At 40.2% G+C, this 24575-nt stretch overlaps 1 protein-coding gene across 12 annotated transcripts in view, besides 2 other annotated features; it reads left to right on the top strand.

The window, feature by feature from the left end:
- Positions 1 to 24575, top strand: part of SLC7A2 (solute carrier family 7 member 2) — a 76498-nt gene that overhangs the window by 22951 nt on the left and 28972 nt on the right. For 2 of the 12 annotated variants that reach the window (NM_001164771.2, NM_003046.6), the window contains exon 1: positions 21758 to 21903. The exons of the other annotated variants lie outside the window; for them this stretch is intronic. In NM_001164771.2, coding sequence (NP_001158243.1) covers positions 21806 to 21903 — 98 coding nt within the window. In that variant the 5' untranslated portion in view covers positions 21758 to 21805. Of the gene's footprint in view, positions 1 to 21757; positions 21904 to 24575 lie in introns of those variants that run through there. 12 annotated transcript variants of the gene reach the window in all.
- Positions 20159 to 20660: an enhancer, noted in NCBI's record as "H3K27ac hESC enhancer chr8:17394687-17395188 (GRCh37/hg19 assembly coordinates)". NCBI's record gives its function as "activates a minimal SCP1, AML or CMV promoter by ChIP-STARR-seq in naive H9 embryonic stem cells {active_cell/tissue: H9 hESC(naive)}" and the evidence as "EXISTENCE:reporter gene assay evidence [ECO:0000049][PMID:30033119]".
- Positions 20661 to 21160: an enhancer, noted in NCBI's record as "H3K27ac hESC enhancer chr8:17395189-17395688 (GRCh37/hg19 assembly coordinates)". NCBI's record gives its function as "activates a minimal SCP1, AML or CMV promoter by ChIP-STARR-seq in naive H9 embryonic stem cells {active_cell/tissue: H9 hESC(naive)}" and the evidence as "EXISTENCE:reporter gene assay evidence [ECO:0000049][PMID:30033119]".

A 24575-nucleotide genomic window follows, 5' to 3' on the forward strand; every position in this document is an offset into this window, starting at 1 on the left:
CAGGCTTGTGCTGTTAAGGCATTAAGGTGGGAATTCTATACGAAAAGTTCAAATGATGTATTAAATATGGATCCAATATCTCTGCTCACTCCCCCTTTGCATCACTTTAAACACACATTCCTTGCATGGATTAAGAAAATAATGTTGACTTTAACTGACTTATACTCATTTATTTCTAGGCACAAAATGAGACCAAACAAAAACTTGGCAATAGAAGGAAGAGGTTCCTGATATTATCAGAGGTCATTCGAAATAAAATCCAGGCAAAATGAAACCACAAAAGATGTGATTTGTAGGGCCAGAAGACTTTGCTTGTTCTGAAATGTGTTTTGAATTCAAGAATATGAAGAGAATCAAGAATATTAGAGATTGAGAAGCCCAGAGATGGGTTAGAAATGAACTGGATAAATTGTAAAATGCACACAAGTGTACTAGAAAATGTTACATGTTTTGGTGAAGGCCGTGAAAATCTTCAGCTGCTTATTGTAGGTAACCTTCTTCTATTAAATCATGGGAGATTTTTCTAGCTTAGAGGTATAAGTTTTAATGTGTGTTGGAATTTTTAATACAGACTTAAGTCCTGATGCTTATCTAGTATCTTTCTTTGTTCTTAAACATTGATTTTCCCGTATTGCTTACCTTTAATAACTATTACATTTTCAGTTTTAAGGCAGTAATAGTTCATGAATTTGAAAAGTTAAAATCTATTGGAGATGAAGTTTTACAATTCTGAAGTCTTTCAAATATATTTTTGGTAACATCTTGATGACCTTCAAATTTTCTTTCATCAGCGGAGTGTTAGGGGGCTGCCGAGAGCCTGGGAACTGCTAGCATTCTGTTTCTCACTGCTTCTGGGTTATGCAGCATGGAAGAGAGGGCATGGAGTTTGGAGCCACACAGACCTTAGGTTCAAATCCAGCTCTGTGACTTTGAAAAGTTTCTTAACATCTCTGAGCCTTAGTTTCATCATGCAAAGATAGGACATTTCTCCTGAGGTGGTTGTGAGGGTTAAATAAAGTAAGTCAAGAGCCCAAGACATAATAGGAAAGCAATGAATCGTCTCTATTATTAATTTTTATTTTTATATATCAAAGTCTGGGGTACAGTGGCCTTGCTTAAAAATGGAATCCCCTTTCCTTTGAATTACTTTTTCTCCCCATATGATAGTCTCAAATATTTATTCATTTTTCTTTTCTTTCTTTTTTTTTTTTGCACAACATCCAAAAGTAAAGGAAACAATATTCTGCAACTCCATCGATTCTGAGTTTCTCTTCAGTGTGCTATATTAAGCTAGATGATGTCATCATCAGCTAACATTGGCTTTTCACCAAGCCGTGGTGACAAGTTTCTTTCCTTAAGGCATATTCTGGAATAGTGTTTCATCTCAGTTTAGAATGTGTACTTCATAACTGGACTATTTATTGGTAGGAGCTGCCTGTGCTTCACTTTCTGGGATGTGGCAGTTAACACTTTGCTCATCAGAGCACTCTCCTTCCTCAGCCTAGTGTTCATCATGGGAAATTCTGAGCTCTGGAAAAATGTAAACTTCGTGTTTGTCTCTTTAGATGGTGCAAACTAATCAGAAACTTCAGTGGCCACAACAAAACAAAACCATTAGCAAAAGACAAACAAAGAAGCTTTATTTTTTAATTGCAAAGCTTCATTACATTGCTTCTGAAATGCTAATCATTATATTATATTCATTTATGGAGAGTCAGACAGACTTGATTTTGTCTGACATTGTCCTGACATTGATCTGTACTAGCATCTTAGTCTGCTTGAGCTGTCATAGTAAAATACCATAGACTGGGGGCTTAAACAACAGACATTTATTTTTCATACTTCTGGAGGCTAGGAGTTGAGATTATGGTGCCAGCATGGTTGAGCTCTGGGGAGGGCTCTTTTCCTGGCCTGCAGACGGCAGCCTTCTCCCTGTGTCCTCAGTTGGTAGAGAGAGAACACCAGCTCTTCCTCTTTTTATAAGGACACTAATTCCATCATGGGTGCCCCACCCACATGATCTCATCTAGCCCTAATTACCTTCTAAAGGCCCTACCTCCAAATACTATCACATTGCAGGTCAGAACTTCATAGGAATTTTGGGGGAACACAAATATTTTGTTTGTAACAAGCAGCTAGTACTTAACCTCTTTAAGCATTGGTTTTCTCACCTATAAACTAGAGATAATAAAAGCACTTACCTCATAGGGTTGATAGGTAATTCAGTTAGGTTTATATATGTAATACACTTAGCCTAGTTCCTAAAACATAGTACGTGCTTGATAAATGTTAGCTCTCAGTAGTAGCAGCAGAAGTAAGTTATAGTGATGGTAGTATATTTTAGGAGCATGTCTCATTCCAGGAACTTATCAGAACTCTTCTGAAATTATAAATTGATGATTGAATTCTTTTTAAGCAACAGTGATGAGAATCTCTATCTTCGTCCATATTTCTGTCGCCATTTTCTCTTCCTAGGCTAATTGTGAGCTTCCTGTATCTGAATCCTGTTCCCTTTGGCCCTGTCCCTCCGGGTCAGCCTTCACTGAGGCTGTGGAGTATTGGGTTCTTTTCACTATGACCTTGCCATATAGTTAGGTGCTTGTTTCTCATTGCCTGTGGCTCCCTAGTCTTTGCTTCAAACCCTTCACACTTTTTCTCTAACTTTTCTCCATGCCATATCATCATCTCCTTTGTTTACTTCAGGGTCACTTACCTAAAGAGGATGAAAGTTTCTTTGGGGCTTCTGAATAAAGGTGGCCAGGTTCCTAAATATTCACATTCATCTTGCCAAGCAGACTTCTGATTGCCTAAAATATTCTTTATGATGTCTCCTCCATAAAACCTTCTAGAGTGATCCAAGGAGAGCACCCTGCTTCTTCTTCTGTGAACCCTGGGAATGGATTCATTTTTGTTGTCTACCAGTAGACCATCTGATTGATTGAAACATCTTATTCCCCAACAATGACTTGGGAAAAGAAGAGTTTTCTGTGAGAAAGAATTAGTGATGATCAGAGTGAAACATATATGTTAAAGCTATATTATAGTTAGTTTTGAATGCTGTTTGGTACTGATTGTAGAATTTGGGGCATTTTGAGATTTCAATAAGTGATAAAAGCATCTTAAATCTTGAAACATAGGTTATGTGTAACCAATTGCAAACATGTTTTAGGAAAGAATTATTAAAGGGAGAAACTTTTTTATTGTGACATATGTTCCAACTATATTTTAAGACAGTTATCTGAAGCATAGGGGTTCATGAGAATATTTGTGTATGTGGTGTATGTGTATATATACATAAAATGCACACACACGCACACATCCTTTTATAAAAAATATCATGGCTGGGTGCAGTGGCTCATGCCTGTAATCTCAGCACTTTGGGAGGCCGAGGTGGGCGGATCACCCGAGGTTGGGAATTTGAGACCAGCCTGGCCAGCATGGTGAAACCGCATTTCTACTAAAAATACAAAAATTAGCCGAGTGTGGTGGCACACGTCTGTAATCCCAGCCACTTGGGAGATTGAGGCACGAGAATTGCTTGAACCTGGGAGGTGAAGGTTGCAGTGAGCCGAGATGACACCACTGCACTCCAGCCTGGGCAACAGAGTGAGACTCTGTCTTTAAAAAAAAAAAAAAAAAAAAAAAAAAAAAGGAGTACTTTTCCAAACAGAAATTTACTTTCATTACAAAAAAGTTTCAAGGAGGAGATGGGAGATGAGAAGGACCTTGAGAGGAATAAAAGGGTATCTGTAAGTAGAGATGAGCTTAAGCAGAGGATATTTTTAAATAGAGCAGCATGTTTATTTTGTACTCCAGTATTGATTTGTGACCACACAATACTGAAGAAAAAAGATATTTAAGTGTCTTAAAAGCAAATCAGTTCTGTTAATTGCTTTAAAGTTATTTAGATTTTTAACCTACAGCTAAGATACATGTTACGGAAATGACCTTATATAAGCCTGTTTCAGGCTTAGTATTTTTTAGATGAGATTTCCTTTAGAAAGAAAACACATAGTACCATAATGATAGTTACTCTTGCTGATTTGTTGGTATTATTGATTAGGCTAATATATGTAAGGTAACTACATTTTCTTCTACTATTTTTTTTGGTAGTCCTTGAGCCATTTTAGGATACTTGCTTTCTAAAAAGAATACATTTAAAATATGAAATTGTATATTTTGATAGAGGGAGGTCAAATAAATGTTTATATTTCAACAAAATGAAGGGAAATACTTGTAGAGCTTAGGCAATGCTTGGTATACTTTGTGTTTTCCCCACAGACAAAAAACCTCGTAAATGGCCTATGTTGGTTCTTCGGAATTGGTGGCAAGAGGACAGAGTGTAGGATTGTAAGAATTTACGTCAGATGAATTTGGCAGGATTCTGATATTTCCTTGATACTTAATTCTAGGCACACTGTCTGTCTCATTAATTTCTGTAAACGTCTTGGTTAAGGAATTACACTGAGGGAGTTCTGATGTTTCATTCACACTCATCCCTGTCTGCCATCCATCAAGTGCTTCTGGAATTCCATCCTGGATCAGACCACCCAGTGAAGACAGCCGTGGCAGGAGCCAGTAGCCCCAGAGACAGGGACTCTTCACAGGGAGACGTGGCGCTGGGCTGTGGCCTCTTTTCAGCTTTCTGGCAGCAAGCCTCTCATTAGCATGGGGTGCTGCGGTATGCTTGGCCAAGGAGGAAATCTCAAGAGCCGAAGCCTTGAAAACCCAGGTCTTGTGTCCGTGCCCAGAATTATGCATTGCTAGCATACAGCCAGCTGCAAAAGGAAGAAATCAAACCCAAATGTGGAAGCAAGTTTCTTCATGCCCTTGTTTCCCTGTTTAAAGTTTTCTGTCAAGCCACTTCCACAGGGAGCTGTTACCCAGTGGCCAGTGCTTAAAGAAATTGTGTTTGGAAAGTTCTTTTAACAGAGGCTACAGAATCTTACTGAGACTGTGTCCTTAATGACTGTAGTGGCTGCCTGGCAACAGAGCCTCCTAGGTAAGAGGAGGAAAATGACCCAGGCTGTATGCATGCATTAGTTTGTTTTCACGCTGCTGATAAAGACGTACCCAAGATTGGATAATTTATTTTAAAAAAGTTTAATGGACTCACAGTTCCACATGGCTGGGGTGCCCTCACAATCATGGCAGATGGCAAAAGTCACGTCTTACAGGGTGGCAGACAGGAGAGAATGAGAACCAAGTAAAAGGGGTATCCCCTTATAAAACCATCAAATCTCGTGAGACTTATTAACTACCATGAGAACAGTGTGGGGGAAACTAGCCCCATGATTCAGTTGTCTCCCACTAGGTCCCTCCCACAACACATAGGAATTATGGGAGCTACAATTCAAGATGAGATTTGGGTGGGGACACAGCCAAATCATGTCAACTTGGCCATGCTGACTACAAGAAGCAGGACTGAACCTGCATCCGGGGCTTGAGTAGATTGTGCGCTTGTTTGTACCACCCTGATAAGTACCTGGGGACAGAGACTGGGGAGGATTCTTACTATATTTTATCACATTTTCTCAGACAATGTAACAGGGGATGCTGCTTGTCCTCAACATCTGCTTCCCAGTTTTTAGCTGGGCATCTACAAGAGCACCTGAAATAAAGACTAGGTCCTGTGTCTCCCCTGAAGCATACTAGGGTCAAATTCTAGCTAATAGCTAGTGAGGGAAAGCTTCCTTTGTGACTTCTAGGAAGTACATTTTTTAAAAGAGGGGTTGGCTGGGTACAGTGGCTCATCCCTGTCATCTCAACACTTTGGGAAGCTGAGATATGAGGATCGCTTGAGCCCAGGAGTTTGGGACCAGCCTGGGCAACACAGTGACACCCTACCTCTATAAAAAAATAAAAATATTAGCTGGGCATGGAGGGTGCCCCCGTATCCCAGCTACTTGGGAGGCTGAAGTGGGAGGATTGCTTGAGCCCAAGAAGTCAAGGCTACAGTGACCCATGATCACACCACTGCACTCCAGCCAGGGTGACAGAGGGAGACCCTGTATCAAAAAATAAAAATATAAACCTAGATGATGGGTTAAGAGGTGCAGCAAACCACTGTGGCACATGTATACCCATGTAACAAACCTGCATGTTCTGCACATGTATCCTGGAACATAAATTTAAAAAAAAGGAGGGAGAAAAAAGGAAAGAAAATGACCATACGGCCAAAAGTAATCTACAAATTCAGTGCAACTCCCATCAAAATACCACCATCATTCTTCACAGAACTAGGAAAAACAATCCTAATAGAACCAAAAAAGAGCCCACATAGCTAAAGCAAGAGTAAGCAAAAAGAACAAATCTGGAGGCATCATATTACCTGATTTCAAACTATACCATAAGGCCATAGTCACCAAAACAGCATGGTATTGGTATAAGAATAGCACACAGACCAGTGGAACAGAATAGAGAACCTAGAAATAAACCCAAATATTTACAGCCAACTAATCTTCAACAAAGCAAACATGGCATAAAGTGGGGAAAGAACACCCTTTTCAGCAAATGGTGATGGGATTATTGGCTAGCCACATGTAGAAGAATGAAACTGGATCCTCATCTCTCAACTTATACAAAAATTAGCTCAAGATGGATCAAAGACATAAATCTAAGACCTGAAATCATAAAAGTTCTAGAAGATAACATTGGGAAAACCCTTCTAGACATTGGCTTAGGCAAAGAGTTCATGACCAAGAACCCAAAAGCAAATGCAGCAAAAACAAAGATAACTAGATGGACTTAATTAAACTAAAAAGCTTCTCCACAGCAAAAGAAATAATCAGCAGAATTAACAGACAACCCACAGAATGGGAGAAAACTTTCACAGTCTATACATCTGACAAAGGACTAATATCCAGAATCTACAAAGAACTCAAACAAATCAGCAAGAAAAAAAAATGAAAAAGTAGGCTAAGGACATGAATAGACAATTCTCAAAAGAAGATAAAATAATGGCCAACAAGCATATGGAAAAATGTTCAACATCACTAATTATCAGGGAAATGCAAATCAAAAACCATAATGCAATACCACCTCACTCCTGCAAGAATGGCCATAATCAAGAAATCAAAAAAGAATAGATGTTGGCATGGATGCGGTGAAAGGGGAATACTTTTACACTGTTGGTGGGAATGTAAACTAGTACAACCACTATGGAAAACAGTGTGGAGATTCCTTAAAGAATTAAAAGTAGAACTACCATTTGATCCAGCAGTCCCACTACTAGGTATCTACCAAAGGAAAAAGAAGTCATTATATGAAAAAGATACTTGCACATGCATGTTTATAGTAGCACAATTTGCAATTGCAAAAATGTGGAATCAGCTCAAAAATCCCATCAATCAACAAGTATAGAAAGAAAATGTGAGATATACATATATGTGTGTGTGTGTGTACACACACACACACACACACACACACACACACACACCATGGAATACTACTCAGCCATAAACAGGAATGAAATAATGGTATTTGCAGCAACCTGGATGGAATTGGATACTATCATTCTAAGTGAAGTAACTCAGGAATGGAAACCCAAACATTGTTATGTTCTCAGTCACATGTGGGAGCTAAGCTATGAGGACACAAAGGCATAAGAATGATACACTGGACTTTGGGGAATCAGGGGAAAGGGTTGGGGATGGTGAGGGATAAAAGACTACACACTGGGTACAGGGTACACTGCTCGGGTGATGGGTGCACCTGAAATCACCGCTGAAGAACTTATGTATTTATGTACATAGTTGTGACTTCCGCATCTAATCCTGATTTTTTTTTTTTAGCTTGTTTGTAGCAGGGATTAACATACAGAGCCAGTGTGCAATCAGGAGCAAGTTCTTAGCATACTTGATGAATTTCCCTGTGCTCACTTGCTGCTTATAGTGATAGCACTTTAACTTTTGGAAGTGGAGAAATTACCAAAAATTTTTGACTGGGGCAAGGGTCAGGGATGACTCAGAGCTCAGCTCTCTCCCTGCATCTAGACAGAGTTGTAATCTAACACAGAACCATTTTTCCACATATTCCCCCCATTCTCTACATCACATCCTATCTATTAAAAGGATCCTTTCAGCCCACCAGATTAGTTTGCCTTGACTTCTTAAGTTGAATAATGGGTTTCTTTCTGGGTGTCTTAGAGATGCTGGGCTCTTCTTCTCCCTCATTAGAAGGCCTATCTTCATTATGAGTATTCCTCTACTTGAAGAAAATAGAGTATTTAGAAGTCTTATTTTTAAAAAAGGGGATAACCGTGATCAGATGGATATGCTAATTTGCTTGCCTGTCATAACCATTTCACTATGTATATTAAAACATCATGATGTAGACCTTAAATATATGCAATAAGAAACAAGCTCTAGAATCTGAAACAAGAAAGTGGCCAAAAATCACAGTGGCAATTATTAGTATTTGTCCCATTTTCTTTTTATTTCTCAACAAGTTATCTTTGCATTCACAGCAAGATGTCCTAGAAAAAGGACACTATACAGATACGGGTTTGGGTGTATGAACAGTAGGAGTGGCGAGTCCTGAGGGAGGTGCAGGTGATAATCCGGGAGGATTTGTTTGCTAGGGTTTTAATTTGACAATGAACTGGTTACTTTTAAATTATCATGGTAGAATCCTACATGCCTCAACAGTGATTGGCTGTGTATGAGTTTGCACTCAGGGTACATTAAGCAACTGGATGGTGCTAGAGAGGTAGATGATGAAATACTGTTCTGTTGCTTGCAAACCAGCACATTCCTGCAAGCGGGATTTGCTGAAACCTTCCAGTGAAGGATTCTTAAACAAACTTGGTCTTTGGTGATGTAAGATACATGAAATAGGGAGGCTGAGTACTGAGAGTTTGGGAAGTTCAAAAAATTTACACAAGCTTTACTTTTTGGTAGTATTCATAGAATGTTTGTCTTTTTTCATGATGGGGAAGTAATTTGCATATACCTTAGAACATTCCCTCATGACTAGCTAGTGGACTCAATCTCTATACCCTAGATTTTTAAAAAGCAGATTTCTAAATACCCAGAGAAAATATGAAGATAATTCTATGGACTGTAACCCTAAAAGGTGATGCTTTTTGGCAAGAAGAAAAGACAAATACAATCAAAATCCTAGTCTGATAACGAATGCTCTGAGTTAGGAACAAGAGGGGAGGATACCAGAAGGTTTCATTGTAGCTGCCATGGGAATTCATTTGAGGGATTCAGATTTAAAAGGTGGAAGAATAAAGTAAAAAGTATGGGTTTGTGAAAAATGGCAAAGAAATGGTTGATTGGAAGCTTGTAAAATAGGAAGGCGAACAAGAAAGGAGAGGCCTGGTATGGTGGCAGCAGATGACAGGGAAGCAGAGCTCCTAAATCTCTATTTTGCTTTTGTCTTTACACAAAGAAGGGCCACCTGACTAGGAGGACAGGACGCATGATGGAAAAGGACCTGAAGCCCGAGTTGGTGAGAGAGAACCTCACTGTTAAAACTAGTTCACAATTTCAGGTCTGGATGAATTACATCTCATGATGTTGGAGGAATTTTTAGATGTGTGTGTGTGGAGTGAGTAGAGATCATCTTGGAGGTGCCCTGAAGTATGAGGAAGAGAGAAGAAGAAAGGAAAGAGGTAGTCACCTTTATTTTCAAACTGGAAGCCAATGTAGATGCTGGAAACCATGGATCAGGGAGCTGAAGACCATCCATCAGAAAAATTTCAGCAGCGTGTGGTATCTAGTTGGAAGAGAAGTAGCTGATCTCCAGAAAGCATCATGAGTTCACTAAGAACACGTTATGCCTAACGAACTGCATGCCCTCTTTCTCCACGATTATTACACTGGCGAATTTGGAAAGTTTCAACATAATGTATTAGGATTTCAGCAAAGCACTTAATATATTGTGATAACCTGGGGATAAGTTCGAGAGAAATGTGGATTTCCAGTTGGTTGCATGATAATACCAGAGTGTTGATCAATGGGTCAGTATCATCCTGAAGGGACATCTTGGTGGCATGCCATGGTACTCTGCCCTTGGCTCTGTCAGGTTTAACTTTTAAAAATCATTCATTTGGATTAACATAGAAGACCTGCTTTTCAAATTTGCAGTGATACACAGGTAGGTAGGGTACTTAATGCATGATTGACAGACTTGTGTTATAACATGACCTCAAATAATATGAAACTTAAAATGCTGAATTTAGGTTTTAAAATAATCAGTGTAGCAAAATGGAACCAAGAGGACCACGCTATATAGAAATATTTGAGAAAAAAGACATGAGGGTTTTAGCCGACTACAAACCAAATATAAATCATTCACTCCCTCATTCATTCATTGGACAAATGTTTACTCCTATCCATGTTTCAGTCACTGGGAAAACACTGGGGATGTGACAAATGAATAAATATAGACCTCGATTTCAAGAAACGTGTAATCTAAAGGAATATATTAATTTCGTAGGGTTGCCATTCAAAGGTACCACAAACTGGGTAGCTTAAAATAACAAATAGTTTGTCTTACAGTTCTGGAAACTTGAAGTCCAAAATCAAGGTGGCAGCTGGACTGTCTGTGCTCCTTCTGAAACCTGCAGGGGAGGGTCATTCCTTGCCTCTTCTAGCTTCTGGTTGTGGCCATCCATCTTTGGCGTTACTTGGCTCACAGCTGCGTCACTGTAATTTCTGCCTCTGTCATCACATGGCATTCTTCGTGTGTCTCACATGGCATTTTCTTCTTCTTATAAGGACACCAGTGTTACTGGATTAGTGACTTAACTTGATAACGCCTGCAAAGACCCTGTTTCCCAGTAAGGTCACCAAATAAGGTACCAGGTTTTAGGACTTCAGCATATTTTTCTGGATGGAGGACACAATTCAATACATAACAAGGAGTAAAATCTGTCTTCATCTAAGTAGTTGACTAATTAGGATTTTTTTATGTGACATAAAAATAGAGTTCTGTGAGAACAGGGTGACCTAATTTAGCTCAAGGGAGTGTCAGGGGTGATTGGGAGCCATCCAGGCGAAGAGGGGAAGGAGTAACCTTCCAGGAAGAAGAAACAACAGTGCAGAACGCCCTGGGGCACTCAGATGCTTAGTGTTCTGAGGAAGTTAAAGGAGCCCAGGGCAGCTCAAGTGGAGGAGGAGGAAGCAGAAGACAGCTGAGGAGACAGGGAGGAGCAGACCCAGCAGAGCTCCGTACACTGTCGAGGTGGTTTTTAAGAACAAAGCAAAAAGAATTAATAGAAGTAGACAAAATGGAGGACTATTATAAGCTAATTAGGCTTTATATTTGCCTCCCTACATCTGGAACCCTTTGTTTTCTTGAGAGGTTCATATTTTAAGCTAATGACTGTTTTTCGGTGTGGCCATTACGCTTTTTTTGTTTATTTGTTTTTTTAGAGACAGGGTCTCACTCTGTTGCCCAGGCCGGAGTGCAGTGGCATGATTATGGCTCACTGCAGCCTCTACCTCCTGGACTCAAGGGATCCTCCCACTTGAGCCTCCCCACAGGGAGCTGGCACTACAGGTGCGCATCACCATGTCTGGCTAATTTTTATAGAAACGGGGTTTTGCTCTGTCGTTCAGGCTGGTCTCAAACTCCTAGGGCAGTCAAAGGCTTAGGGTTCTGAGGAAGTTAACTCCGCCTGCCTCCGCCTCCCAAAGTGCTTGGATTACAGGTCTGAGCCACTGCCCCCGGCCTGGTCATTACACTTTGAATTAATATATTTATATGAGGGGAGAGAAATCTTGGGAAGGTAGCTATTTGGAATTACTTGAAGGAGAAGACTTTTCTTTATTTGTTCTTAGGGCAGAGTTAGACTAATGGGTAAGAGTTATAGGAGGAGAGCTCCATGAAATAAAAGCATTGAGAGCTGCATAAGGAGAAGACAGGATGTCCTTGAAACTCGGGGCTCTCGGGGCCCATACAACATGGCCGCCTGTCGGGGATGAAAGGAATTCTGAAGGGAAGATGAGAGGGGACCAGTTTCCTCTAGGGTCCCCACAAAAAGCATCCACTAGAGTTTCAAATGTGATGTTAAGATTTCTAAAATGTATTTACATGTACTTTATAATAAAAAAGCATTATAAAGGCTTTAACATTAAATGTTACTGGGGGATTGTTAAATAATTGAAATTCATTTAAAAACCTTTGCAGACTTATTTAGACACTTCTGCTGCACTCTGTTCAGTAGCACTGGTTTTCCTTACAGTCTGCTGCAATCACAGTAATTGTCCTTAACCACACGTCTTGTGTACGTACAACCATCTCTTCCCTTTTCTTAATGTTCTCTCTGCTGCCCTTAGTTGACTTGTTCTATCAAGCTCATTTCTAGGGCTCAATTGCCAGTCATTTATGGCCAGCGAAATACTATTTAGAAGTGATGGTATATATATAGCAGTTTTCCCTTCATTGGGGATGGGGGAGCAAGAGGACACATTGTATAAGCAAGTGTCAATCCTACCCAAGTGCCATGGGGCTCAGTCTCTACGGAGGGACATTTTCTTTGTTTTTGGTTTTGTTTTTTTGTTTTTTTTTTTTTTGAGAGATAGAGTCTTGCTCTGTCACCCAGGCTGGAGTGCAGTGATGTGATCTTGGCCCACTGCAACCTCTATCTACCTCCTGGGTTCAAGAGATTCTCCTGCCTCAGCCTCTCGATTAGCTGGGATTATATGTGTCCACCACCATGCCCAGCTAATTTTTGTATTTTTAGTAACGATGGGGTTTTACACCATGTTAGCTAGGCTGGTCTCGAACTCCTGGCCTCAAGTAATCCGCCCACCTTGGCCTACCAACATGCTGGGATTACAGGTGTGAGTCACCACGCCTGGCCCAGAGGGACATTTTCAAAGAAGCTGCCAAAAGTCCCTTGAAAAGGAATTTCAACCTTCCCTTGTGTTAGGCTGGTGGGTGCAGAAGTAATTGCTGTTTTGCCATTAAAAGCAGTAGCAAAAACTACGATTACTTTTGCACCAACCTAATACGTCTTGAAGGAGACCCCATTTGCATTCAACACCAGCACTTCTCCACACCCTCTTATCTCTCTTGCCGGCTTCTCTTGGCAGGTGAATGAGCGGGAGGTTCTCATTTTTCAGGCTGCTAGCTTTTCCCTGCCTCCTACCCCGTGCTATATAAATAAGCCTGGTTTCTTAGCTTTAATTTTCTACGTTCCCCCCTGCCCCCCATCCCCGGTCCGCCGCTGCTTCTTTGAGTCAGAAGGAAAGCTCAGGAGCTGACAGAGAGGATAAGAAAGAACCTTCTTGCTGTGTCCCTGCAGTAGCTCGGATGGCCTGGGAGCCGGGACAGAGGGAGAGGGCAAGGGGGCAAGGTGGGGGCAGCTGGATACATGCAGTTCAGTCAAAACCTTTTCACCTTTATGTGAGCCAGAAGACTTATGTGCTAAGGGTAGTAGGAGGACAAACTGGGCTACAGTACTCGTTGGAGAATAGCAACATGCAGGGCTAGAAAGCCAGGCTGGGGCCAGGTCACAGAGGGATGGTTTGGAAACCCAGGCAAGTTGCTGAAGTTAGTTGGCAGAAGGCAGATTAGGTACAAGTGTGAGTAAATAGATTTTTTTTTTTTTTTTTGAGACAGGGTCTCTCTCTGACACCCAGCCTAGCATGCGGTGGTGCAATCTCGACTCACTGCAACTTCTGCCTCCTAGGTTCAAGCGTTTCTCCTGCCTCAGCCTCTTGAATAGCTGGGACTACAGGGACGTGCCACCATGCCTGGCTAATTTTTGTACTTTTAGTAGAGACGGGTTTCGCCATGTTGGTCAGGCTGGTCTCAAACTCCTGACCTCAAGTGATCCTCCTGCCTTGGCCCCCCAAAGTGCTGGTAGTACAGGTGTGAGCTACTGCATCCAGCCAGTAAGTAGATTCAAAGCCTTAAAACTGAAATCTCATTCTTTATATAATAATTTAAATTTAATAAGCATTAATTGTTATTTTAAAGTATGCTGATATTTCTAAATATTTCTAAGCGTATTTAAAATGAAGGAAGGCTAATTCATTTACAAATCTCCATACGGTGTGGTTTCAAATAATTGCTTCCTCTTCTGTCATTGAAAGTCAGGGCTGGGAGATAACAGGGCTGGTTTCCTGGAAATGGTGTAATTCAGAGCCTAAGATAGGATATCTCTCTCTCTGTCTGCATCTTAGTGCTGAAAGACCTGAAGGTCAGATGAAACTCCTCTTTATAAAGAAGCAGCAAGAGCGGGGAGGAAGGGAGTTTCTCTCTCTTCTTACAGTCTTCTTATTTGAAAATACTGCAGCTGTACAATGGCCGTATATTGTATGTAATACAAGGCCACTATAAAGGTTTTAGAGGACAGAAAAATAAGTTATAGTTTAGGTTTCGTTTTGGGGTAACAAAAGATTAAAAAATGAGTGTTGTTAAAAAGAAATTTGAGAAACTCCATGAGTAGTATGATATATGTGTATATGGATATATTTTTTAAATTTTTGCTTAGATTGCAGGGTGTCTAATGCCTTTTATTTTTATGAATTATATTCTTTGTAAAACCTACTTTTCACACTTTATTTAAATATTTTAAAATTCCTATTGATCAATGATTCCAAAATAGTTTTTATATTTATGAGATGGTTTGAATTTTAAATTTTATAGTAACTTAAGCTATTATTATTCAGAATTAAAAATCAAAATGCATGTTTTTAGGAATTTCTGATTAAGACTTTATAGACTAATATGATTATTTTAAGGGTTTTTTTTTCTACTTATCAGGGAAATAACTATAGTTGCCATTAAATTTTTGTGCAAAAATTCAAGATCTTTTTCCAAGGAAGGAATTGTTTCAAGTAAAGTAACAAAGAGGAAAATTTGGACTTCTAATTGATTTTAGAAGTGACTGATTAAATAAATTGTCAAAATTTCAAAATGAGTCTTAAAGATTATGGATATTTCTTAGTTAATAAAAAAATGTGGCTGGGCACGGTGGCTCATGCCTATAATCCTAACACTTTGGGAGGCTGAGGTGGGCAGATCACCTGAGGTCAGGAGTTCGAGACCAGCCTGGCCAACGTGGTGAAACCCCATCTCTACTAAAAAAGCTACAAAAATTAGCCAGGTGTGGTGGCGGTGCCTGTAATCCCAGCTACTTGGGAGGCTGAGGCAGGAGAATCACTTGAACCCGGGAGGCGGAGGTTGGAGTGAGCTGAGATTGCGCCACTACACTCCAGCCTGGGCAACAGGGCAAGACTCTATCTCAAAAAAAAAAAAAAAAAAAAAAAAAAAAAACCCCAGCAATTCTAGGGAGGAATAATGGCTGAAGAATCAGATTAGTCATGGCTTTCCCCAGGAAAGCTTCCCTGCTGCCTCCTGACCCCAATCCCAGTGTGAGCATGGAGTCCCCTCCTGTGTGTGCCAGTAGTACCCTGGACTTCCCTTACCCACAGACATCAAGCTTTATGGTAATGGCCAGTTTACTTGTCCTTTTGTACCTGTATCCCCTTGCCTCCTGGAATTTTGTTTGGAAATTGCCTTTAGATTATTTTTTTGCTTTTTTTGAAATGTCTTAAGTCTTGATCTTTTAGAGAAACTGACAGTTTGTTGAACAGCTAATAAGTTGAATTCAGTCTATGCAGTTAATATAAAAATTAAAACAAAGTCTGGAGAAAACTTAATTGGAGAAATTGTTCACATTTATGGCATATTAATAAGTAGAATAGAAATGTGACAAGCACATCAATAGGAATTTTAAAGTATTTAAATAAAGTGTGAAAAGTAGGTTTTACAAAGAATATAATTCATAAAAATAAAAAGCATTAGACGCCCTGCAATCTAAGCAAAAATTTTAAAAATATATCCATATACACATATATCGTACTACTCATGGAGTTTCTCAAATTTCTTTTTAACAACACTCATTTTTTAATCTTTTGTTACCCCAAAACAAAACTTAAACTATAACTTACTTTTCTGTCCTCTAAAACCTTTATAGTGGCCTTGTTTTAAGGACCTTCAGTTTTAAGGACCTTCAATTTTAAGGACCACTTTATTTCCAGTTGTTTTAATTTTGTAAATGGTTCTTGGTTTGCATGTTCTAGATAGAAATTTTAGAGGCTCTGAATCATGAAGAACCAGCACCCTTTTAATTGCTTTCTCTGAGCACACAATGGGAGTATTTTATTCAGATTTATCTGAAGCCAGTATGAACTTGCAAACTTCTCTGAGCCAATAGCAGCATTTCAACAATCTATCAAGAAGCTAACGATAAAAATCTATGCTCATACATTGTTGCTGTGTTTTAAGAAGAACCAAATCAGAACGTGTTTTTCAGAATTCAAAATATAGTTTCAAAAGTGACCATTTTGTTTCAATAAATGACTTTTCAGCAAAACCATAAATCTCAACTCAGTTTCCCTCTAAATTTCTTGAACTTGAACTGAAAATGAATGTGAATTCTGGTTAAATTCCACTTCTGCCACAGTTGAAGGAAAGAATTTTGCCTAGCATTGAGACAAAAGTGATTGAATTCTAACAATTAATTAAATTAGGTAACTTTTACGGGGTGGGTGCAGGGTGGTGATTTGAAAGGGATACACTTTGGCTCTCTTTGGAAAGAGAATAATTACAGGAAACCAGAGTGTTCTAAAGTATTTCTCAGCTCTTCGCTTTTAGACAAAAAGCTTTCTTATACTCCACTACCCTCCTGGTCCATGCACATACTTCTGGCATCTTTAATCTGAAAGTCAGTTACTAATCCAGAGAAAAGTGAAGGTCACTTCCCAAGCACAGGCTATTTATTTAAAGTTCCAGAATACATGTGCAGGACGTGCAGGTTTGTTACATAGGTAAACTCGTGCCATGGTGGTTTGCTGCACCTGTCAACCCATCACCTAGGTATTAAGCCCCACATGCATTAGCTGTTTATCCTGATGCTCTCCCTCCCCTCAGCCCACCCCCTGACAGGCCCCAGTGTGTGTTGTTCCCCTCCCTATGTCCATGTGTTCTCATTGCTCAGCTCCCACTTATAAGTGAAAAGATGTGGTCTTTGGTTTTCTGTTCCTGCATTATTTTGCTGAGGATAATGGCTTCCAGCTTCATCCATGTCCCTGCAAAGGACATGATCTTGTTCCTTTTGATGGCTGCATAGTATTCCATAGTGTGTATATACCACATTTTCTTTATCCTGTCTATTATTGATGGGCACAGGCTATTTAAAAAGGGCAGCAGGAACATGGTTTCATCCAGGTCTTTGGGATTTCCTTGGCATCCTTGAGTTAGCTCTAATTTATGTGGACAGTGGATTCAAAGTGGAATTAAGGTAATATTGAGTGGTTTGATTTTTAAACAACAGTTGTGGTCATCTTTTTAAACAGTTTCTCTGAGAAGTGATTACCCTTTTGTAAGGATGAGCAGTTCGGACCCCTGTCATCACAACGGATAACCACCCTGAAATCCAACAGCATTTAGAGGAGGGTTACTGAACTGTGGCAAGATTTGATGGGCATTGCCAAGACTCAGAGATCGAATCTTCAGTAAGCTAGAAAACCCACTCATTTAAAATACTCTGTTCCATGAAAATATCATGCCAAATATTACTCTGTTTGGAATTCTGACAATTCAAGGAGCTCAGTGTGGAAATTTTAGCTGTATTCTTGAGGCATGTATTTAACATCTCTATGTGTTTGCTTTTTCAGTTTTAGAACAGGAGTGCAAGTTTCAAATGGAAAAAAAAAAAAAAAAAAACAAGACAAAACAGTACCCTCCTTGCACAAAGTTACACTGAAGTCAATCTGACATAATTTGTTGATTCTCTGTTATTTTTATCTGTAAACTATATGGCATGTAAAGTTAATGTTTTAACTTTGGAGTGAAATAGGCGCTCAATAGTCTACAAATCCGTGTGTCCCTTCCCACTCATCCTCTTCCTTGACTCTCAAGGTGGAGAAGCTAAGCTCTGTTGTCCACCTGTATCTCTTTACCCCACCGCCCTTCCCCTAGAGCAGCTAAGAGTCCCTTGTGCCTAGATAATTTGAGTAGCCTGTTTACCTTTTTCCTTATCTCCAGTCTTGATCTTTCTCATCCCTTATTTATGATACAGTCAGAATGATGTTTCTCAAATTCTACGTCTGGCTTAAAGTTCTCAGTGATTTCCTATTGCCACCAGGGTCAAGTTCAAGCTCCTTGCATGGCCTAGGGACCCTTCTGCTTAGCTCTGCTTACCTCTGGCTTCCCCATCCCTAAGCTCTATGTGGATTGAACTACCCTCTACTTGTTTACTCTTGCTGTGTACACCCTCTGCTTAGAACACTTGTGTCCCCACCGCCCCCTCCCGCCCTCCTTCTCACTGAGCTTTCAGATGGCTAAATTTAACTCATCCAAACATAGCTGTCTCCAGGAAGACCTCTCTAACTACCTGTATCCCCGTCACAGTCAGAGTTAGGAGCCCTTGCAGTGCCCTGCTTCCCCTATGCACAAGTATAGCTGTCTCATATTGCAATGGCCATCATCTGTGTGTCTGTGCAACTGCAGGTGGCACGAGGGAAGAATTGGGGCAGCCTATTTATGGTTGTTTCAGGGCCTGATAGGGTGCCTCAAGTATTTGGGGGAACGAATAAAGTAGTGGAAGTATTTATAAGAAATTTACATTTTTGGCCGGGCGCGGTGGCTTACGCCTGTAATCCCAGCACTTTGGGAAGCCAAGACAGGCGGATCACTTGAGGTAGGGAGTTCGAAACCAGCCTGGCCAACATGGTGAAACCCTGTCTCTACTAAAAATACAAAAATTAGCTAAGTGTGGTGGTGGGCGCCTGTAGTCACAGATACTTGGGAAGCTGAGGCAGGAGAATCGCTTGAACCCGGGAGGCGGAGGTGGCAGTGAGCCGAGATCATGCCACTGCACTCCAGCCTGGGTGAAAGAGGGACACTCCATCTCAAAACAAAAATTTTTTTTACATTTTTTAACAAAAGATAGCCCACTAACATTGAAGTCTTAAGTGTTGTAGAGACTTCTCTGATTCAGGAAGCTTAAAAAACCTTCTCCAGTATGGTAAAATATTCCCGGTGCTTCCCTCGATATCCTTTCCTCCATTACATGAATTATCGCTCTGCCGCTAGCTTACTTCCATAATTCCTTGGCACAAAAAAAAAAAAAAAAGTTTTAAATGTTTTTAGTAAGTACTGTAGAGCCCTTGGTATTCCTGGGGCCCTGACTAGCTCTTACATGCTCCTCATTCCAACAGTGGGCATTGGGAGAAATGATGTTACCGATAATCCAGATTGGTTGTATGTATGTCTAAAAAGAAAAGATATTCTGGCCGGGTGCAGTGGTTCACGCCTGTAACCTCAGCACTTTGGGAGACCAAGGAAGGAAGATCACTTGAGGTCAGGAGTTCGAAACCAGCCTGGCCAACATGGGGAAAACCTGTCTCTACCAAAAATACAAAAAAGAAAATAGCTGGATGTGGTGGCGGGTGCCTGTAACTACTTGGGAGGCTGAGGCAGGAGGATCACTTGAACCCGAGAGGCGGAGGTTGCAGTGAGCCAAGATTGCACCACTGCACTCCAGCCTGCCACAAAACAAACAAACGAACAAACAATTCTACCTTATGTCAAGCTATTTTTTTCAAGGAGAGAGTATATACGTCTGTGGGTAAAGGGCAGAACTAATGCAGGCTAAACACTTTAAGTACGGTATTGGAAAGTGAACAAATTAGAGTTATTCTATCACGGAAACCTCCTTTTGGAAAGAAGAGGAATTCCCAGGAAATGTAGCAGAAATGGCTGAAGGTAGCAGATTGGAAGAGTTGACAGTGGGAGTAGAGTGGGGTGAAGCAGGCCCGCTCAGTACCATCTTGACCTTCGCCATTAGCTTCTGGTTTCAAGGAACAGAGACCACTCTAAATAGCTGAAGTGCACAGGAGGTGTGTCCAAACCATGTCGGGGAATCTTGCACACCCAGCGTTAGAAGCGCAGCAAGGCCTGGGGGGACAGAAAAGCTCCCCAGGCTCCTCTTGCCCTGCCTCCCTGCTGGGGCAGCTGCCTTTCACAAGACTGTCCTCCTCTGAATGAACACTGTATGGCTTCTTTTATTTATTTAGTTATTTTCAGATGGAGTCTCGCTCTGTTGCCCAGGCTGGAGTGCAGTGGCACGATCTTGGCTCACCGCAACCTCTGCCTCCTGAGTTCAAGCAATTCTCCTGCCTTAGCCTCCCGAGTAGCTGGGATTACAGGCACGTAACACCATGCCTGGCTAATTTTTGTATTTTTAGTAGAGATGGGGTTTCACCACGTTGGTCAGGCTGGTCTCAAAACTCCTGACCTCAAGTGCTCCTCAAGCCTCCCAAAGTGCTGGGATTACAGGCATGAGCCACCGTGCCCAGCCCACCCTGTGTGGCTTCTACTGCCAGCCTGTGGGTTTCTGCACCTTGTCAAGCTGGTCCCCAGTGTGTGTGACTTCAGCCTGCACTAGACCATTTGACCGACCTAATCATTTTGTTCGTAAGAGCTTCAAGAACATCTAATTGAGCATTCCCAGCCTTTGACTGTTTAACCCTGAGTCAGATGTCTCTCTGGTCCAGTGATCCTTGGCTTCGGGGTATGAAGACAGTGCTGTGGGGAGGGCAGGAGGCAGTGGCGGGATCCCAGGTAAGGTAAAAAATTCTGGAAGGGGCCATTCCTCATGTTTGCAAAGGCACATATAAGGTGACAGGTCCTAGCAGCTTGGGGAGAGGGAACAGGTTGTACCCACTGGCAGTCAGAGTGACATACTAGCCAAAGATTGCTGGAGACCTACGGGCATGGGCATCTGCCTGGTGCCCAAGCCTGACACCCAGCTCTGGTTGGGAACGCAGTGTGCTGACTGGGCAGGGACTCCGGTTACCAAGGTGCTGAGGGCTTTGCTTTCTTCATTTCAAGTTTTGCTTCTTCTGTTCCCCAAGCCTAAACACAAAAGTTGGATGCTTCATTTAATTTTTTTTTCTGCATCTCTTTGAGCTAACTAGGTATGCCTTATTCCCACTGTGATGTTGCCTTCACTAAAGTGAAATGGAGTCACATGTTTGGAAGCAGCAGCTGTCTTTACAGACTTCCCAGAATTCTCTATCAGCCCTTTATTTGTTGAATGTCTTTGGGAAAAATGCTTGCCTATGTCTGGATTCTATATCAGAAAATTTGAAATACTATGTTTTTAGTCTAACTTCCTGGCAGTACTGATTTGGTATAAAATGGGAGAAAATATCAATGGTTTTATTACAGTGCTTGTAACTTTGTAGTGGCCTCAGTTGTGTTTTTTGTTTTTACCTATGTCTACACTTGCACGAACTTCTCTGGAGAAAACTCTGGAGGAAGAAATTATTCAGAAGACTTGATTTGGAGAAAAGATAAGTTTTGGACCCAGTAAAAGTGAAGTGAATATGGAAGAGTGTTCTGTGTTTTTCCAGAAAGATTCAGGCTTAAGTACTGAATGCCAAGTTTTGTGGTTTCTGTTTTTGCTAATCAAGGCTGAACAGTTACCACATGTGATAGTCTTTTATCCTACATTATACTTTTGATGAATTTGTAAAGAAATTAATCTCTCAAAACTTAGCAAAAAGAATAAAAGTCAATAAATCCATGGTATCATGGCTATATCTTTTTCCTCTTTACTAAATTATTTAACCCACGTTATAATTTGAAAATTTATCTTGGAACTTTAACATTGTAGAAACGTTGGGTTTGGACATTGCAAAATAAAAAAGATCTAGGGCAAAAACAGTATGGTAAAGATCCCTACTTATCTATACGATTTAATTACTTTTTTTTCCATCAGTCCCAAAACAGAAAGAGCAGATGTCTCACCACGAAACTAGCAACTGGAATGAAGATAGAAACAAGTGGTTATAACTCAGACAAACTAATTTGTCGAGGGTTTATTGGAACACCTGCCCCACCGGTTTGCGACAGCAAGTTTCTCCTGTAAGATTTATTGTCAGGGCCTGGGATACTGATATAGAAGATTAAGTTTGAAATGTCAACCTTTACTTAGGGGAGGAAGGGAAAGATTCATTTCTAAGTGACTCAATGCAACTTCAAACTTTTGAACTAAAGTGAAAATCCAGGATCAACTTGTGACTATGATTAGCAGATTTGGAAAGATTTCCTGGAATCGTTGAAAGGAAGTTTGCTCCGTCAATGTCATCAGGGTTAGGGATTTACTAGACCTAAAATTCTATACTGTCAAGTTGATGGCCTGGGCTGAAGAAGTTTTAGAAGGAGGTAATTCCAAGTTGCTGAGGAAGGAATTTAGCTTTTTGGCAAGAATTAATAGGGACTTATCAAGGAATAAGGTGCGTAGAAATGGTTATACTTAAGTTTGGGGCACAATGGGCGTGGGGCTAAGAAAGATCTCACATGTATCATTAGGCTCATGAAAATCATTCAGAGACTTTTCTGCAGCACAGCATATTGCTAGTTCCTTCCAGCCCTCCCTTCGCTAATTCTATTTTCAGATCTAAGCTAATATGCACATATTTATCTTCCTCAAGAGACGCCACTGTCTCAGCAATTAATAAAATAATTGCTTATTGAAGAAAGATATCTGTTTCTGGTATTGCCAGAATCACTTGTGACCTCATAGGGATGTTGATCAGAGCCTTATATTCTAAGGCCAAGGACAGGGGTGTGAGTTTTGTATGGGCCACTTCCCAAAATCTGCATCATTGTTCTTATACTACATGCGTGTAGGTTTCGTATTAAATATGAGTCCTTGGTCACAGTAGCAATAACTGACAATGGTTACAATGGTGCAGATCATCTGCTCCTGGAAAAACAAAGTCTATGCCCTCCAGATTAATGGAATCACCTCCAAAACCCCTGCATTGTATCTCTGCATTCGTATTTGTTGTATAAGTAGGAGGGATGTTTTTCTTGGGCAGTAAGTCCCCTGTAAAAATGAGAGTAAGATGGTCATAACCATTTCATATGGGGAGCTTATCTTTTTAAAAATGTTAAAGTTATAAAAACTTCAAAGATATGTACATATCAAATTATATCACTAATATTAGACACAAATTTTTTTTCTCATTCTCTTGTTGCCACACTCCTTTCATATATCAGTGTGTCTCGACAAAAGCATATTTTACAAAAGTACGAGATACACTTTCTTCATCTGCTAAGCACTGCATGATACACCTGCTAGGACTCAATAAATGTTTGTTTAAAAATGACTCATTAAATTGACCCAATATGTTTTTTCCTTACTTTTCTCCCATCTCATTATAGTCCTACAAAATTAGTTCTGCATTGTGGCTTTTGCAATCCGTATTTTACCAGGCTGTGCGTAGTTGAGATTGTTTGCAAAGGGCATCGAGTAACCTGCCAGTTCTGAGAAGTTTCTGACGTATGTTTTTCTAATTACTCAAAAGCAAATGAATGCTTGACAAATGGGATCTTTGTCTTTTTTCCCCAGAGTAACATGGAGAACCTGACTACCCATAAAATACTTTTCATCTTTAATGGGAAAGAAGTAATTTGCCTACACAGACCTCCCCCCAACCCCTCCAAAAAAGAAAAAAAAATAGGACAGAAGCAGTAGAAATCATATCTTATGTGATTAAAGCTGTGCATTTCTATAAGCAGTCCTGCTTCCTGTGTAATCTGGAGTGAATTAAATTCAATTTCGTATTGAAGAGATGACCATCACTAATTTATTCATTTTGGGTAGCTTAATAATAAAAGCTTTTACTGTTTTAACGTTTTCACAGGAGGTTTGTTTATTGGTCGACTTGCTTATTCTTTTATTTTTATGCTGTTTTTTCTTTAGAAATTTCACAAATAACATCATAATCACAGTACCAGGAAAAAAGGATTTAAAAAAAGTTTACCCACAATCCTATTAGCCCCCGAATCTGTCCTTTGTTTTCCTTGCTTCCTTCCAGATCCTTTCTCTTTAAATATGCAATAGTCGTAGAATTTATATCTTTTTCTCATAAAAGTCAAGGTTAATTAAGTACTCCACCATGGGCATGTTTTATTTGGTTAAATGACAAATGGGTATGTTTATCAGTTGTGTTCCCGGAGTTGTATATGACATGTCTCATTTTCAAGTGATCTTAAATCGTTAATGAACTTCAGTGGGTCTTTGTTTCTGAGCACTTTTCAGTTGGCAGTGGTTCCTACTCCTTGATCTTTGTACATCTCTGTATAAAAATGCTTAAATATTACAGAAGCTCAGCATTTAGTAACTACCTTTCCCATCCCTCCTGGCCCCCTCAGTTGGTTTTTATATAACTTTTTGCTTCTCAATTCTTTTTAAGCAGAACACTTATCTTCTAGATATATGAGAAAGGGCTATTTAAGGGTTAGCCAGTGGTAGAAATTGATAAACATTTGATTTATGGAAGCATTGATAGGTTTTGACGTTGAAAACCTGAATATGGGCAAAACTGGAGATGTCAACGTCTTTGCAGATTTTCCCATAAGCATTTGTGAAGTGCCATGCTTTGGCACTCTGTCAGGTTGGCACAGAAGATACTGAAGATGTGTGAAAGTTTGTTTTTATCATCAAGGAACGTGTCCTCTATTTTTTATTTCTCCTTAGGCTTTTCTTCATATTCTTTGACTTACCTGCTTTCACTATTGGAAGCTTG

The sequence above is a fragment of the Homo sapiens genome, chromosome 8, assembly GCF_000001405.40.
Source record: "Homo sapiens chromosome 8, GRCh38.p14 Primary Assembly".
In the NCBI taxonomy this organism is placed as follows: domain Eukaryota; kingdom Metazoa; phylum Chordata; class Mammalia; order Primates; family Hominidae; genus Homo; species Homo sapiens.